The sequence below is a fragment of the Homo sapiens genome, chromosome 5, assembly GCF_000001405.40.
Source record: "Homo sapiens chromosome 5, GRCh38.p14 Primary Assembly".
Taxonomy (NCBI): Eukaryota; Metazoa; Chordata; class Mammalia; order Primates; family Hominidae; genus Homo; species Homo sapiens.
In genome coordinates this window covers 77,827,586-77,845,856 of record NC_000005.10, presented here as the reverse complement: position 1 = coordinate 77,845,856, position 18,271 = coordinate 77,827,586, and the positions used below count along the sequence as shown (strand labels likewise).

Genomic DNA, 18,271 nt, shown 5'->3' with positions numbered 1-18,271 from the left:
CTTGATGTTGAGAATTCCCTGTGTCTGTAGGTATGTGGGATAAATATGTAGTATCTCTAATAGAGAGAGATAGATAAAGACGGTGCAAGCAAGACCTAGTAGATTCTTCTGAGTGTTAAATGCCTAAATGGAAACATAACAGAAAATATTATTAGCTTTATCTGCCGACACCAGGGACGCAGGTTAAAGTATTTTTCATTTAATTTGATAGAGAATAAAGCACTTAAAGCACTTGATGATTTATTGATCAAATAGAAATCAGGCGCCAGACAACAGCTCCTTACTTAATCCCCATTCACACGATTAAAAGCCAAGTGAACTTTTTTTTTTTTTAACAATTTGCTCAATAGGCTTTATGCTGTATAAAGAATAAAAAGAGAACCGTTCTTCTGACCTATAAATCTCTCCTTTGGCTAATATGAATGACTACGGGGCACGTGAACCTCCATTGAACTGTAAACACTGTTTTAATGGACAGTAATGGCCCTATGATTTTTAGCTATTGTTCCAAAATGACTACCATGTTTATTGCCATCATTAAAAATGAATTAAAGAGTTATGAAACTCCTCAATAATGAGAACTCCGGCCGTTTATAAGCGGTAGCACTCTTTTCCCCTGCTCAGGCGGCAGGTTCTGCCTGTCTAGGCTGGTGCAGGCTGCGGGACACCCACCTGGAGCAGCGGTTTGGGGGAGCGGGGTGGATAGAGTATTTCTTTGGGGGAGAGAGGTGAGGGCCTAGAGGACTGAGAGAGTGGAAGGAGGAGACGACGGGGTAGTGGAGGGATGTCCGGAAAGCCCTGCCTGCTCGGACGCTCCCCACGAGGAGGCGCGCGCGTGGGTAAAGCGGGGAGCCGAGGGTCTCGGGGAGGGCGCGATGTGCCCCCTCCCCGGCAGCCTGAGAGAGGCGGTCTGGAACCAGGACGGCGGGAGGGGGTTGGGGGGTGAGTGGAAATAACAATAAGGAGAATAGGGTGGAGGCTTCGAGAGACATCCACGCGGCTGCAGCCAGGCCGAGAAAGTACCCGGGACCAGGGCGGGGGCGTCCGGGCAGCCGCTCCAGTTCTCCCCACGCCGCGCAGCAGCGACCGTACTCCCACACCACCTCCCCACAGCCCCCGCGCCGCTGGGGGCCTCGCGGGAAAATGGCTCAGCAAAGTTGCGCACAGCCCATGCACTGTTCTCCGAGGGGTCCCTGGCTGGAGCCTGCACGTTTCTCTTTGCATTAGCAAAGCCCAAAGTCATCCAGTTTGCGCTAATCACCACAATTAGTCCTGAATTATCACCGGACTCTGACAGACGTTCCTTGTAACTCTCTTTTATTTCCAACAGCCCTAATCAGCCGCTCTCATTACAAACGCTGATTAAACTGCAAATTATCCAGCAGCGGCCCTGTTCCCGTCTACCAGCAGCTCGTTCAATATCAATTAAGGCCGAGCGGCAAAGCCTGCAGCCTCCCAGAGCTTCCAACTGCCTGATAGTGGCACTTATTAGTTTGGAAAACTAGGAAAATACTAATAATCAACAACCAAGGGGGAAGAGGAGGCAACCAAACAAAAGGAAGGCAGAAAAGCAGCCGGAGAGAGGAGCGAGCGCGCCGCCTGCCCGGCCCCCACTCCTCCGGCCCCAAGTGCGGCGCCAGCCTCTCACTGGGGAGGGGGGAAGGGCCCGCTTCTCTGGGAGGGCCCCAGTTCCCAGATCAGTGAGCTAGGTTGTGCGGGACGGCCAAATGCATTCACTAACATACTGTCTCGGGCTCGCTGAAGACACTTTTGCAAATAATGCATAGTATTTGGGCGTTTGAGATTAAACCAACTTCCAGAACCTCCTTCATTGAGTCGTCCTGAAATCTGTTTCCAATAAACTGTTAAATAAAATGGGAGCTGATGACAGTTGATTTTATTTACCTATTCTGTCAAATTAGATTTCCACGGCAGAGCACTACTCTTACGGGCTGCAAATATGCAGCCCCGCCCCACGTGGGGCTGAGGTGTGAAGACAATAGTTGTCTTTGTCTGTCTGTCTCTCTCCCCTCTCCACTGGGACCTTCTAGGAAGGCAGTGGCAGCGGGGAGAAACTAGCCCTACCCCTACAAAGTGGCTTGTATTTGCTGAGGGATTCAACTGGGTGAAGGCAGCAGCTGCAGAAAGGCCCTCGTGGATTTTTAGGTGGCTGGGATTCCTACAGGCCGGGCCACTAACCCTTCCGTCTACCCACTACTCCTTAGGCAGGGACAGGCACTCTGTTTTGTCCCATTTGATGGAACTGCAGCCCACCTCCAAAATTTTTAAAACGAGGAGGACTATAACTCACTAAACCTGGAGAAGGGAGTTAATAGATGGTTCATTTCTATCTAGGATTAGGGCATGTATTTGAGGATTTATACGTCATTAATAATCTGCATATATTTGTTTTACCAAAAACTGTCTATTCACTGACAGGCCTGACTCCCTTTGAGAATTCAAGTAAGGAGTCCATTATCAAAGACTGCTCAACATGGCTAAGCCCACTAGACAGTGTGTTCAACAAGAAGTCTATGTTTAATTTTTGGTCCCTTTCCTAAAATTGGATCAAGCTAGTTATAATTACATGTTAGAACTTAAAGGCAGGAAAAGGTTTACTGCTTCTGAAGATCTGGTTTGCTTCTTTCTTCCCACTACTGATTTGTTTTCCTTTTTTGTGTTAACTGACAACAAACTCAGATCTAAATCCCATGCTTAGCATGATATCTATCTTTGTGAAAAAATTACTGTCTCTCATTCCTTAACCCTGTAGTTCTGCTTTTTGTTGGAAATAAGCAGGATATAAAGAAATGTCGGCTGGGCATGGTGGCTCACGCCTGTAATCCCAGCACTTTGGGAGGCCGAGGTGGGTGGATCACGAGGTCAGGAGATCGAGACCATCCTGGCTAACACAGTGAAACCCTGTCTCTACTAAAACTACAAAAAATTAGCTGGGCATGGTGGCGGGCACCTGTAGTCCCAGCTACTCGGGAGGCTGAGGCAGGAGAATGGCGTGAACCCAGGAGGCAGAGCTTGCAGTGAGCGGAGATCGGGCCACTGCACTCCAGCCTGGGCAACAAGAGTGAGACTCCATCTCAAAAAACAAACAAACAAACAAACAAACCACAAAAAAGAAAACTGTCTTCTAGGTATTTATTACTCTATCTTTACATCTCCAAGCCTTTACAAAAATGCTACTTTGAGAAACATAGCACTTTTGCAGTTGAAAATACTTTGGGCTCCTAGGGAAAACAACTTTTATAAAATTTACTACATTTGCCTCTTTCTATTTCTGGCAACTTATTTGTTGTCTTAAATTATGGGAGACATTCCTTTGATTTAAAGTATGTTTCCGCTCTTTCTTATCAGTGTTGGTGATGCCATCTCTTTCCTCTATGTGTTCACAACCACTGCCTTAGGCTAAGATTTCATCATCTTATGCCCAAATTTGTGAAGCATAATCCTAAGCGAGTCTTCCAAATAATGACACATTAATTTACCCCAAACAGCTCCTGGTGCAATCTGCTGAAACTATTCTGTCTTCTACTATGGTTCAAATAGTGTTTTATCCTCTGAATCACTCTACATGTTTTGTTCCCATCTCTTGAAACCTTTGAATTTATATTCCGAAGCTAATTTTTGTTGGCTGCTAAATGCTTTTACATGGTCTTAAGCTTTCCCTATTTAAAAATGTATTGTTAAAGATTTGCTACGTGCCAGACTCTTGCTAAACTCTCGTTATTTCATTGGATCACTAAACAACCCTATGATGTAGGTACTATTATTATTACTGCCATTCACAAATAAAGCTTACAAAGTTACAGCTCAAGGTTCTGCAGTTAGTAGCCATGTGAATCAGAGACCAAGCACAAGATTCAGCCTTTCTTGAGTATTTGATCTTCTCTCTCTTTGAGGAAGGGACTATGCTTTCTGTTCTATTTTCTCTTCTATTTCACATAGTAGGAATTCAGTACAAACTATGTGGGGTGTCTGATTTAAACAATCTATGCTCCCTCCTCCAAACACCCACACACGCATGCTCTTGGAGAGCATGACTTTGATAATGAGGTTTCCTACTCCCAAATCCCAGTGAATGTAATCCCTGGATTACTCATCTTCCCACTGAAAAGGGGAAACATATTTCTTTCTTTTACTTTTAAATCCACCCTGATCTGATTGCCACTAGCAGCTGTGGGCACGTGTCTAAGAAGGAAACATAGTCTTTGGGGGTCTCCTTCTATGAGATAATACCCCAGTGACCATATGACAAGGCATCTCTGTCCAGCTGACATGGGTAAAACCATTTGAACCCTACTTCTGCAGCATTTCGGAATTCAGCATTCCCAACCAAATATACTTCTCATATGAGACCTGCCGGAAAGACAAGATTAGGGACACCAGCCAATGACAGCTTTTAAATAAAGGCATGTATACATGAGTTTATATGTTTTCTATAAAAGCTGAAAATATTTCCCCAGTCAATTTAGCAACATTGGTAGAGGACAGTTTTGCCCAAATGTCCTAGAACACAGATTAAAGGCCTAATCTTGATGAGTAAGGCCTTATTTTGGATATTTTTAAATCTAATTTTATGTCCAGTCATGAAAACCTTGAAAAATTACTTCCCGTCATGACATTTTAAAAATCGCCTTTTATCCCTGAAACTGGAGAATAAAGATGCTTTTAGCAATAAAATATAGTACAGGATAGGACCCATGTTTAAAAATACTGCTGACAAAGACACATTTGAAAAAAAGGAATGCTACTGCCACTGGCGGAGTCGATCCTCCTTGTCTGAACCTTTGGTGTACTGACGCCTAAGAGGCCATTTCTACTTACATGGTACAGTTAGAGGTTATTGTAACCATCTTAGCAATAGACGGGAGCTCAGCTGGAACTGATATGTGTGATCACTGATTGATTACCTGTCTGCTTGATAGTGTGTAGTTGAGTGAACTCGTTTCCTTTACAGGACAGAAAGATTCACAAAGTAGAAAGTGCAGGTCCTTAAATTACATGAAAATTAATGTTAAAGATATAGTGATGAATATCTATGCATATATATGCACATATTATGGGTATGGGTCTACCCAGATTTGACATAAGAAAATCACAGCTAGGGCAGTCTATATTTACAATAAAGACAAAAGGATGTCCTTATTAGCATTACAGAAAAGAATACTTAATTTCTCATAAGAGGATTAGCCTCAAGTTTTCTTAAAATCCTCATCTTCCTATTGCATTTGATATATACTTTGATCTGTAACCATTCTGTTTGAACACAGATATCTGGGGACTCATCTGTTACATAGAGCAAGGTGTACCTATATTTGCTGTTTTCTTGGAATTCTGCTGCTTGAACCCTTATTTAAGAATAAGAATGTTTTATTCATCTTCCTATCCTAAGAATTGTGAAGAGTACCTTTAATAATAACCGTTTCATAGGTATCTGCTGAAATTAAAAGCGAAAAGGCCATGTTATTGCGCAGGTAGCTCTGGGTCCCCTAGTTCTTCCTTTTCTGGGCCCACACATGAAGGACTGTCCTGATGGAAGGAGGCATTTGCATTTTTGTGGGGTTTGTTTCTATTTGCTATTATGTCTCTTGAGAGCAAGATAAGGCTTAGATTCAAACTGCCGCATGTGGCTGGGTATGGTGGCTCATGCTTGTAATCCAAGCACTTTGGGAGGCTGAGGCAGGAGGGCTGGGCTTGAGCTCAGGAGTTCGAGACCAACCTGGGCAACACAGAGATACTTCTGTCTTTATAAAAAACAAAAATTTTTTTTAAAAGCAATGCTGCATACTGTGCTGCCGTGATACATCTCCTTGTTCACTGAGGTCAAATTGGAGCCTCTGCCTTAGTCTTTCTAGTGTTTGTATTGTCAATGAACTGGTCTTCTTCCTGCCTCAGTTCTAGAAGCAGCAGCCTAGTTCTGTGGGTACCCTCATAAATCTACGTCATAGGGGAGGGAATGCAGCCTGTGACACAGTATCCCAGACCTTTGCTTATGTCAGAATTGCTGCTTTTAGTTTGTCCACTTGGAGAAAGTCACACACCCATCCAGACTCCCTGTCAGCGACTGTGTGTGGCTCTAGGTGTCCCAGTCCTCATTATTGTGACATGCAGTGGATACAATAACCTGGGATTTCCATGAGTGGTGTGTGGGGCTTAGCCTTCAGTGGTCATGGATTTCTTTGAGGATCCGATGAAAGTTACAGAACTGGTCCTCCAAAAAATGCATATATTCACATTGATGGGAAATGTTGCAATTTTGAAGAGTTCACAGACACCACCCAAGAGACCTGTGGAACCCAGGTTAAAAAATCCCTTCATTAGAGACAGGCCCCTTTAGTCCTTGTTCACTCTGAGACACACCATCAAGAGTTTTTCTTCCCCCATCACCAATTAAAAAAGCAGCTGAGGGCAGATCAAGTCACTTCTCAAATCCCTACAAAAAGTCCGGTGAAGGCACAATTTATGTCTGTGAAATCAAATTTCTCTCTTTATCTGATAATCACCAGTGCACACATTTGCACCATGTTTTGCACAATGGATGGCATGAGAATTGGTAAATTTTTATCAACATTTTTAATGGCAGGCCAAGAGGAAATGTTAGGTTTCATTTTTTTTCTCCTTTCCCACCTCTGGCAAATTGGTCACAGATATTGAAATGCCCAACAAGAGAAGCTGAAAAGCCCTATAAAACCGAAACTAACCCAATCAATCAAGTCAAGCTATCTATTTCAGATGGAGACCCCAAATCACACAAATCTACATCGAGGAACATACAAACATTTAGGATTACTGAAGGAAATGCTTTAATTTCCTTTGTGAGAACTGAGCAGAACTCTAAATAGTCCTTTTTAAAATGCCTGAGCAGATGTATTTGCAGACAGTCTGTTGTGTGTGTAACCAAAGTGGACTTTTAATTATGGGACATTAACTATGAATTAATATCTCATTATAGCCGCAGAGTAGAGAGCATATAAACTGTCATTAGTACTGAGAACACGTTTGTACTGTATGGGATTAGTTCTGACTTTTGATGCTCACTTCTTTCGGGCTCAGTCCTCACCTCCATGCCAAATGCCTTTCCACAGTTCTCAGTGCAGAGGAACTTTGTCCCACTCTGTGGGCAATAGCAGCTTGAATGGCAGTTGGCTCTAAACATGGCATCAGTGCATCCAGTCAGACTGTTTGAGGAGTTATGCTGCCAACTGCACCTCTATCCCAGAAACACTCTTCAATAGCATCCTAAAAATGGCAATAAAGTGAGAACCCCATGTTCTGTATTTGCTTCTCCAAGAACCCAAATCTCAAGCCAGAATATTTGGCTCAGTGGTTTGCATCAAGTTCCTGACTTTGCTGGGTCTTGAATGACCTATGAACAAAATAGTGCTTTTATTTACAAGGACCATGAGAATCTTGATTAAGCAGTTTAAGAATTGAAAGAATTGTAAGATATTAATATAGCAATATATTCTAGAGGAATATTGGAAGACTTAGGAACAGAGAGCCCCTACCGAAAACAGGAAACAACTATCTGGCTGAGGCAAAACAACTGACAAAGGAAAGAAGAAAATCAGGATGGCATCGCCAACAATGAACATATTTTTCTCATAAATCTATTTTTCTTATAATGTGTTTTTCTGAGAAATACATTTATGAAAAATATGTTTTTGAATATATTCTGAGTTTGAAATTTTCTTATGAATAGATTAATAATAAATGAATAATATATTCATAAGAATCTTTATGTTTAATAAACGTGTTTTTAAATAAATTCTCTTTATACTCCTGTATTTTTCCTTCCATTTTCTCTCCATCTCCATCTTCAGTAGCAACAAGTAGACAGAGACAATTTAACTCCTTCAAATGTCAATAAGAAGTTATAAGGCCAGGTGCAGTGGCTTATGCCTATAATCCAAGCACTTTGGGCGGATCACCTGAGGTCAGGAGTTCAAGACCAGCCTGGCCAAAATGGTGAAACCGTGTCTCTACTAAAAAAATACAAAAATTAGCCTGGTGCCTGTAATCCCAGCTACTCAGGAGGCTGACGCAGGAGAATCGCTTGAGCCCAGGAGGTGGAGTTTGCAGTGAGCAGAGAACGCACCACTGTATTCCAGCTTGGGCGACAGAACAAGACTCTATTTAAAAAAAAAAAAAAAAGTTATACTCATGCCAATCTAAAATAGTTGAAAGATACAAGTAAGTAAATCTGGCTTTCAGTGAATTGGCTTTGGGCAAATTGGCCTTCTTGCCTCAGTACCAAGTTCTCCTTGCTGCTAGTCCACTTTTGAATCCAAGTCCCAAGTTTGCTAACAGAGTTTCTTAGTCCTAGGTTCCACACCTCCCTCAATCCTTCAGGTCTAGTGAATAGATTTCCCTCTTGTTCATTGAGTCTAGGTTTTGCCTTCTTTTTGCCAGTGTAATTTCCAGGGAGGAAGTCCTGCCCCTGTGGCTAAAGACCTGTTGCTCATTCAAGAAATTGTATTGAGTACCTACTGTCTGCCAGACACTGTTCTAGCATTAGAATTATGACAATGGACCAGGCAAATAAAGCTTGTATTGACCTCATGATGCTTATATTTGGTAGAAGAGAATACGCAATAACAAAGTAAACTAACAAAAAGAATAATTTCAAATATTGATTAGGGCCCAAAAGAAAATCAAACGAATAGATTTTAACAGAAAGAGATAGAAATGGGCTACATCAGATTGGGTTGTCAAGAAGGGATCTTTGACTGGGTGACATAGCTAACATGTCAGCCAAGTGAAGATGAGGAAGAATTCCAAGCAGCAGGAATAGTTGGTGCAAAGGCCCTCATATAGGAATGTTCTTGGTAAGTTCTCAGAACAGAAAGAACATTATGACTGGAGTTAATGATCAGGACAGGAAGCAACAGGGGTTGAGGTCAGAGAGGTAAGGCAGAGGCCAGATCCTATAGGGTCATGTAGACCATGGTGAGGGATCTGGGTATTATTCTAAATGCAATAGAAAGCAATTGGAGGATTTTAACATGGGAATTATGTGATTGAATTTGTTTTAAAGGATCCCTTTTGGGGGAGAATGAATTATAGAGGGACAAGAGTGGAATCAGGAAGTTAGTAAACTATTACGGATACTTTGGTGGCTTGATATGGGAGGTAATTGTGATGGATTTAGGATATATTTTGGAGATAAATGACAGGATTGCAGTTGGAGTAAATGTGGGAGATGAGGAGAAAAGAGGAAACAAGATGACTTCTAGGTGTTGGTCTTGAGCCCCTAGGTAGATGCAGTGTCATTTCCTGGAATGAAGAAGGGCAGGTTTGTTGGGGTAAAGAGAGTAAGCTTTCTCTTTGAGATGCTCTCGAACATCCAAGTAGTTACTTCTAACAAACATTCTTGATGGTCATCATCTACTTTCTTGCAACTTCAAACAGTATCTGACATCAAGTTTCTAGCTCCTTTGCGGTGCACTGTGTTCTGATACCCCATTCCTTCATGGGGGACCCCCCAAGATGTCTGCGGTTACCACACTGTCATGCTTTGCTTGTTGCCATGTCTGTTGGACACTGTCTTCTCCATGCCCCAACCACGCACATGTGGTTAGGTGTGTTTCTCCAAAACAAGCCCAATCTCGGGAGAGTTTGAGTGCAGGTTCCAGGCCCCATCTTCCTTTCTTGCCCTGGACAAGTTGCTTCACCTCTCTGGTAGGCTCTGGCCTCCTTGTTTGTAAAATGCATTGGCTCAGTGGTTCTCTCAGTGGGGTCACTGGATCAGCAGCATCGACATCACCTGGGAATTTGTGAGAAATGCAAATCCTTAGGCCCCTACCCAGACCGCAGAATCAGAACCTTTGGGAGTGAAATCCAGCAATCCATTTTAACAAGCCTTGCAGGTGATTCTCAAAATTCATGCCAAATGTTAAGAGCCACTGAACTAGATGTTCTCTAAGGTCCCTTCCAGTGCTACATTCTATGAATCCATTATCCTTTGATCTGTATGATTAAAGTGATTCAAAAAAAAATTCTTTAATCATGTCTTAAGGTTATGCACAGTTCGGGCAAATGAAAGAGCAAATCTGGAAACAACACATTTCTTATATAATTATGTAGTTTCTCCAAACATTTATTTAAATTTGTCAGCCTCCAGCCATAATACTTTTAAAGAAACTTTAATAAAAAATCACTCTGAGATTTATCACAGTGGAGTTGTACATCATTTTAGTGAGTGGTTGAAAACTGCTGAACAGGTGTAATAATGCCTTTGGGATTAAATAACTGTAACAGAATTACATCTTCATAATGACAGCAAAGGGAGGCGGCACCTCTCACTGCTCCATCACAGTTGATTTTAGAAGAGCTACAGGAGTTGGAAAGACTCTGAACCATTATTTACCACCTACTATTTGGGATGCTATATTTGTAAACCATCCATAAAATTGTAATTATTAAACTCTGGTCATATGCAAATTTCTAAGAGATATTTTTAAATTGATGTAATGTTTTATACCATAATACAATTCTCTTAAATTTATATCTGTGTGATGCTGGAAATTGTTTAACCAATTTAACTAGGTGAAATAACCAGTTGTTTCCATCAATTCAGTTTAAAAGCCAAATAACAGTCATTTCTTTTCTTTTTTTTTTTTTTTTTGAGACGGAGTGTCGCTCTGTTGCCCAGGCTGGAGTGCAGTGGCACGATCTTGGATCACTGCAACCTCTGCCTCCTGGGTTCAAGCAGTTCTCCTGCCTCAGCCTCCCGAGTAGCTGGGATTACAGGCGCCACCACCACACCCAGCTAATTTTTGTATTTTTGTATTTTTGTAAAGACGAGGTTTCACCATGTTAGCCAGGCTGATCTTCAACTCCTGACCTCAAGTGATCTGCCCACCTTGGCCTCCCAAAGTGCTGGGATTACAGGCATGAGCCACCACACCCAGCCAATAACACCCATTTCAAGTCTGCTGTCAACATGACAAAATTAAAATATTTAACTGAATGTCTATGTTACTATGAGTTCTATATTTCTATGAGATTCCATGAGTTCCAGAGGCAATGTGAAACTGAAGAAAATACTTTAAAGCTGTCAAGATTCATCACATTTGCAAAGCTCAAGAAACCAAACAACCTGCAGCTCATGAGTTCTCAAATTGTCCACTAGAGCAGTTAAATTTGATGTGTTGTTGTAAAAATAGGGTTTTTTTTTTTGTTTTTTTTTTTTGAGATGGAGTGTCACTCTGTTGCCCAGGCTGGAGTGCAGTGGCACGATCTTGGCTCACTGCAACCTCCGCCTCCCGGGTTCAAGCAATTCTCCTGCCTCAGCCTCCTGAGTAGCTGGGATTACAGGCACCTGCCACCAAGCTCAGCTAATTTTTGTATTTTTAGTCGAAACGGGGTTTCACCATATTGGTCAGGCTGAGTCTCGAGCCCCTGACCTTGTGATCCACCTGCCTCGGCCTCCCAAAGTGTTGGGATTACAGGCGTGAGCCACCACGCCTGGCCAGGATTCTTACTTAAAAGATTGTAAATATCTCCAGGGTTGACTTAGAAAAATTCACTAACATAGGTACTTGCTGCATACAATGTGTGCAAAGAGGTGAATTCTTGGTAAACACATGTGTTTGGATTTCCCACTTTCAGGCCCCTGTGTTCTTGGTGAATATAAAAACAGACCCCGCCTTTCTAAACCATGAATCGGACACCTAAGAGGACCACAAAAAGAAAGATCTCAGGTGTCCTCAGAGTTCATTCTTTTTGTCTTTAGTATAGGCAGCTCTACCATTTAATTGCATCAATTTCTAAAAGAAATGTAACAAGATTTTAAGTGTGTGTTCTAGTTGATGCTTAAGCTGAAAGGAAATGAAGTACTCACAAATGTTATATAATATAAGCCAAAGGGTTTTCACAGTTAATTGAAACATCTGAGTAGCATGAAGATTACCTGTGTTTTATGTCTGCCACTGATGAGAAAACGAGAGATTGGTGTGATGTACTCATTGGTTTGTGAATATAAAGGTGTACGGAGAGTGTCACAAATCACCTTGATGTCCCTGAGAAGGAGATTTTACCTCTGAAGCCCTGATTAATAAAAAAAGATATTTAGCTCAATAGCTCTTGGTTGCCTATGCATCTGTGTGTTCTGACACACAGCAGGCCCCTTCATTTCAGGGCTGGAATAACTTACACTCATGAAATCAGCTCAGGATTCATTGTCTTTAGATTAGTATATGTAAAACATCTCAGTTGGAGGCAGTAAAGAGTCAAAACAAATCACACTACACCTGGTTTGAAGATCTGTTCTCATTTGCAAAGGTTATATGAATTTGATATAAGAATACCAGATCATTTTTCCCTGAGCACAAAATTTGTTTATGGCCTGTCCAGAAAAGAAGTGGCAAAGACAGAGAGTTAGATATATTCATCGTCTGCTGTGTGCATGCCTGAGGTCAGCCTGATTTCTGCTGAACTCCAGGTTTTTTTTCTTTTCTGAAGGTGGGGAAGCTTTGGGAGGGAGTGGTCAGGGTGGTGAGCAGCAGGAACAAGAAGACTTGAGCTAAAAGCCCTACTGGACTTGTCATATCCACTTGCACTAGCATACACATAGCTAAAGAACAGACTAGAAGGAATTCAAAGGAACAAATACGCAGATCGAACTTCAATGTTCCCTGTCAGGCATAACATCCTGTGTTGTCTTCAGTAAGGGAAATGGAAGGGGAAGCTCCTCTAGGTTAAAAGGACCAAACCACCACCACCACCAGACAATTACACTGCCCGGGGCTCAGAGTGATTTTTGACTGTTTGTGACTGCATAGCTGGTTGGGAGTGGAGCCAGTTTCCCAGTTCAGTAACTTTTCTTCTACACCACAAAGAATGTTTCCCAGAAAGCTTATTTCCACAGGTAGTTAGCAAAACAAGTGTTACAAAAAGGGGTGATATGGTCCAATAAGGTTAGGAAGCAGACGTTTAAATCCATTCTTTTATTTAAACAATGTTAAGCAGTTTTCTTAGGGGCAGGGCTCCTCAGAGTCCTCATTTGCCGTTGTTGATTGTGACTTACTGATATAGGGTGCAGTGTTCCCAGGCGTGCTTGATGACAGAATCTTTTTCTGTTTTTTGGATCATGGAGGCTCTTTCAGGTTTAGTGATCACAAGGCACCCTTTGGACAAACTTTGTCTACATCAAGGTGATCCTGCAGTGACTGCTTATGTGCTTATTGGTCGAGAGAAGACCAATTCACAGTGTGATGAGGCACTGAAGGGTGAGTCAGGCTCTCAGACCTGCAGGAGCCTTCTCTGCTGAATGAGGTAGTTGGTCTAGAGGAGTGGTTCTCAATTAGTGAAGCAGTTTTATCACACCTGCTGGCAGTGGGACTAGAGGCGAGGAGGGAGCATGCGTGGTAGGCAAAGCTTTCTCCCTCCCCAGTGAAGAATGACTGATTTAGATGTCCCTCCCCATGGTACCTTTATTGACCTAATAACATCGTACATGCATATATTATTTGACTCAGCAATTCTTCTTACAGGAATTTTTCTTACTGGCAAAGTTACATTTTTAAAATACACATAGTGATATTCATCGAAGCAGTATTGGTATTATATTAACAAGAGATCAGAAATGGCTAAATATCTACCAAAGGAAAATATGTAGCCATTACAAAGAATAGAACTACCTCCCTCTGTATGATTAAATGAGAAAAGCAAAGCATGGACACTATAGAGCAGGCAACCTTGGAATAAAACTATATTATACACACTATCAATGTAAGAAATATATTTAAAAGCATATATATAAAGCATATGTTTGTTTATATATTGAATATCTCTGGGAAAATACGCAGAAAGCGTAACAGTTGTTATACTGGAGTGTCTTGGGGACAGAGTTGCCAAAGAGACTTATTTTATACTGTGTACCCTTTTGCACTGTTTGAATTTTTTTCCATATGCAAGGTAGCTGTTCCCAGTTCCTTTTCCCCCCATAAATGTATGCCAATCTTCATATCAACAGATGGAGTCTCTTTCTCCTGCTTTTGAATCTGGGCTGATTTTGTGACACACATTGGTGGGGAAGTGTCCATGAGGTAGGTCCACCCCTAGCCTTTGGGAGAAATGGCAGCTTCTGCTTCTGCCGCCGCTTCCATTAGAAGCCAGCTAACCTCAACCTTCAGGTAAGAAGTTCAATTGCCCTAAGAGCACTATGCTATGAAGAAGCCAATCTAGCCACGTAGAAAAGCCGCATGGAGGGAGAGATGCCCAGCCAGCCCCAAGCTGTTCTAGCCATCCCTGTTGAGGCACCCAATAGGCAAGTAAAGAAGCCATCTCAGACATTTCAGCCCCAGCAGCCAACACATGGAGCAGAAGAATCATCCCGGTGAGCCTGTCTCAGATTGCAGAACTGTAAAAAAAAATACATTGTTGTTTTAAATCAGTAAGTTTTGGAGTGGTTTACTAAGCAGCAAGAGATAAAAAATAATTACCTATTCAACATAAATATGTAAATTAACTTAAAAAGTGTTAATTCATATAATTTTGTATAAATGTAGGATTAGAGAGCAATTTAATAGGAGGATAAAGGAAGGGAGCTACAGGTGACTGCAGTGAGGCACCAGAGGGTATCACTTGGGGGAAAAGAGTGAACCTAGTGGGGAGTATAGGCAATTTTGCTGACTCCAAAAATTACCCTACGTCTTGCTTCTGTCAGAGTACCACATCTCCATCCCATCCTTCTATCTGTCTCTCTTTGTCACACATACACCACTTAATTATTCTCATAATTGGAGGGACAGGAGGGAATGTAAAGCAGGTTAATTGCTACCACCATCAACCAGTGTCTGCGACTGTGAATTGAGCGTGTGTTCCAAGTTACACCACTGGATGCCCTTTGGGAACTGGTAATACAACATAAAAAGAAATAAGACAAAAGAACCTAAGTAGCACAACCTCAATATTTCAAAATAATAGACAAGAGGAAGAGGCAATTAGTTTGATTTTAATGAAAAGAATGAATTCTAAAAGATTTCAAAGTGCTGCAGTTATTACTTTTAAGTACAGTGCATTTTACAAAGCTATAAATGGGTACCTAATAAGTTAAATGAGGTAAGTTAATGAAAGAATTAAGATTCACAAGAGGCCTACGTTATATAATTATGTATCATAAAACAGAAAGTCCTTTAACATGCTGAAATTAATTGGATGACCCAGAAATTGAAGGTACATAGAAGTTTTAGTTTGAAAAAGCAACTAATTTCAGATTAATGCTTTGTACATAGTAGGCATTCAACAGATGCTTGGTGAAGTAAAATGAACCAATTAGCAAAGTCCATTAGCAATAGTCACTCGCTCTGGACTGAGGATTATATCCAATTCCCAGTGTGTACTGGTAACTGCACCTTCACTCAAAAGCATATCCAAAGGTAACTGAGAATGAAAGGATAACCTTGAGCGTGTTCTCGTTTATTTTTTTGAAAAGCAAATCATTTAAAAACATCAGTAATAGAACTATCAATAGTAAAAAATTACTTGCCGAATATTGCAGTTAAGAACAACTGACTTAAGAAATTTTCTTCAGAAAATTGCAATTAAAGTGTGAATAGGTTAACTGGGAAGGAGTAATAGAGAAAAGAGTAGAAACAGTCAGAATAGCAGATCATTTTCCAGGTGCAGGCTGAAGACCTTGCAGTGGTGGTGATAGGGTGTCTGTAACACGAGAGCAATGGGCATAACAAAATATAGAACTTAAACCAAAAGTCACCTCCTTCTCAGATTTCTCTGTGACACACTCTAACACCCTGTTCAGGGTTATGAGCCTAGCTCTGAACAGCAAGTCTGAACATTGGGTGGAAGGACATTGTTATCCTCAGCTATAATATTAATTGGAATCTATCCAAAACATTACCTTGGGTAAGATCTGCTTCCCTAGTTCTTTTCATTCAGCAGGGACTCAAGTGAATTTCTAAGACCATAACATATCTTAGTATCAAGATCAATACTGAATTAGCAGACATGGCTAAGGATAACTGGGGGAAAATAATTAACAAAATTAAGGAGGATTTGCACCACTGGGAACCATAAAAGTTATTTTATGGGTCCATGTAAATGTAATAAAATCTCTGTCTGTGCCACAATTTAATTTCACATCAAAAAGGTCCCCGCAGATAGTCTGTAAGATTATTTTACTAAAATTGAATATGTCTATGCCTCCCTACTCTGAGTAAGAAAAAGCTTACCTCTGCTCAGAAAGTTATGTTTCACACAGCGAAAGGATTAAGTCCCATTCAATCTCAAGCACTGTCTAATGGCAGCTACTCAAAGTAGGCAATGTAATTAATTTTTATTAATAACAGCACTTTATAATTGGCAGGGGCAGAACATCATAAATCAAAAAGATGCTTCTAAGTATAGCACATACTTTTCTCAAACAAAAAATCAAGTATTAACAACAGTAGAATACAAAGCAGACAATGTCTACAACACAGACATTCTTAATCTTATTGCAATATATTTTAATAGCTTTATTGAAATATAATTCACATACTCTACAATTCACCAATTTAAAGTGTATAATTCCAGAGTTTTCAGTATATTCAGAGTTTTACATCCATCACCATGATCAATTTTAGAACATTTTCTTTACCAAAAAAGAAACCCCATCTCCACTAGCAGTCACTCTTCCTATCCCACCCTCCCCCACCGCTATACCCCAATCTTAGGCAAACACTAATTTATTTTCTGTGTCTGTGGATTTGCTTATTCAGGACATTTCGTATGAATGGAATCATACAATATGTGGTCTTTTGTGACCAGCTTCTTTCACTTAATGTAAAGTTTTAAAGTTTCATCCATGTTGTAGCATGTGTCAATACCTCATTCATTTTTATTAACAAACAATATTTTATTATATGGATATACTATGGTTCATTTATCCATTCATCTGTTGAGGGAGATTTGGATTGTTTCCACTTTTTGGCTATTATGAATAATGATGATACGAATATTCATGTACAAATTTTTGTGTGGTTATAAGTTTTCTGTTCGCTTGGGTATATACCTAGAAGTGGATTGCCAGGTTATATGACAACTTTATATTTAACATTTTGTGAAGCTGCCAGATTCTTTACAAAGTGACTGTATGATTTTACATTCATATTTATATTACATATAAGCATTTCAATTTCTCTACCTCCTCGCCAATCCTTGTTTTTATCTGATTTTTTTTATTATAGCCATCCTAGTGGGTATGAAGTGGTATTGCAATGTGGTTTTGATTTGCGTTCCCCTAATGACTAATGATGTTGAGCATTTTTTCATATGCTTATTTGTTATTTGTTTATCTTCCTTGGAGAAATGTTTAATTCAGATTATTTGCCCATTTTTGAATTGATTTATTTGTCTTTTTATTATTGAGTTATAGGGATGGATCATACATCCCAGACACAAGTTTCTGTTATCAGATACATGATTTGCAGGTTGGGCACAGTGACTCCCACCTCTAATACTATTGCTTTGAGAGGCCAAGTTGGGAGGATTACTTGAGGCCAGGAGTTTGAGACCACCCTAGGCAACATAGCAAGACCCCATCTCTGTAATATCTAAAGGAAAAAAAAGCTATATGACTTGCAAATATTTTCTCCCCTTTTGTGGGTTGGTTTTCACTTTCTTTTTTTAATTTTTTTTTTTTTTAAAGACAAGGTCTCTGCTGGGCGCGGTGGCTCATGCCTGTAATCCCAGCACTTTGGGGAGGCAGAGGCGGGCGGATCACCTGAGGTCAGGAGTTTGAGACCAGCCTGACCAACATGGTGAAACCCCATCTCTGCTAAAAATACAAAATTAGCTGGGCGTGGTGGCACATGCCTTTAATGCCAGCTACTCGGGGGGCTGAGGCATGAGAATCGCTTGAACCCAGGAGGCAGAGGTTGCAGTGACCCAAGATCACACCATTGCACTCCAGCCTGGGCAACAAGAGCGAAATTCCGTCTCAAAATAAAACAAAAAAAAGACAAGGTCTCACTATGTTGCCCAAGCTAGATTTGAACTCCTGGGCTCAAGAAATCCTCCCACTTCAGCCTCCAAGTAGCTGGGACTACAGTACAGGAAGGTGCCGCTGTGCATTTTGCACTTTCTTAGTGGTGTTCTTTGAAGCACAAAAGTTTTTAGTTTCAATGAAGTCCAATTACCTAGGCTTTCTTTTGTCACTCGTACTTTTGATGTCCCATCTGAAAAGGCTTTGCCTAATGCAAGGTCACAAAGGTTTACTTCTAGGTTGTCTTCTAAGAGTTTTATAGTTTTA

At 40.9% G+C, this 18,271-nt stretch overlaps 1 annotated feature.

The window, feature by feature from the left end:
• Positions 424-1,290: an enhancer, noted in NCBI's record as "H3K27ac-H3K4me1 hESC enhancer chr5:77140391-77141257 (GRCh37/hg19 assembly coordinates)". NCBI's record gives its function as "activates a minimal SCP1, AML or CMV promoter by ChIP-STARR-seq in naive and primed H9 embryonic stem cells {active_cell/tissue: H9 hESC(naive and primed)}" and the evidence as "EXISTENCE:reporter gene assay evidence [ECO:0000049][PMID:30033119]".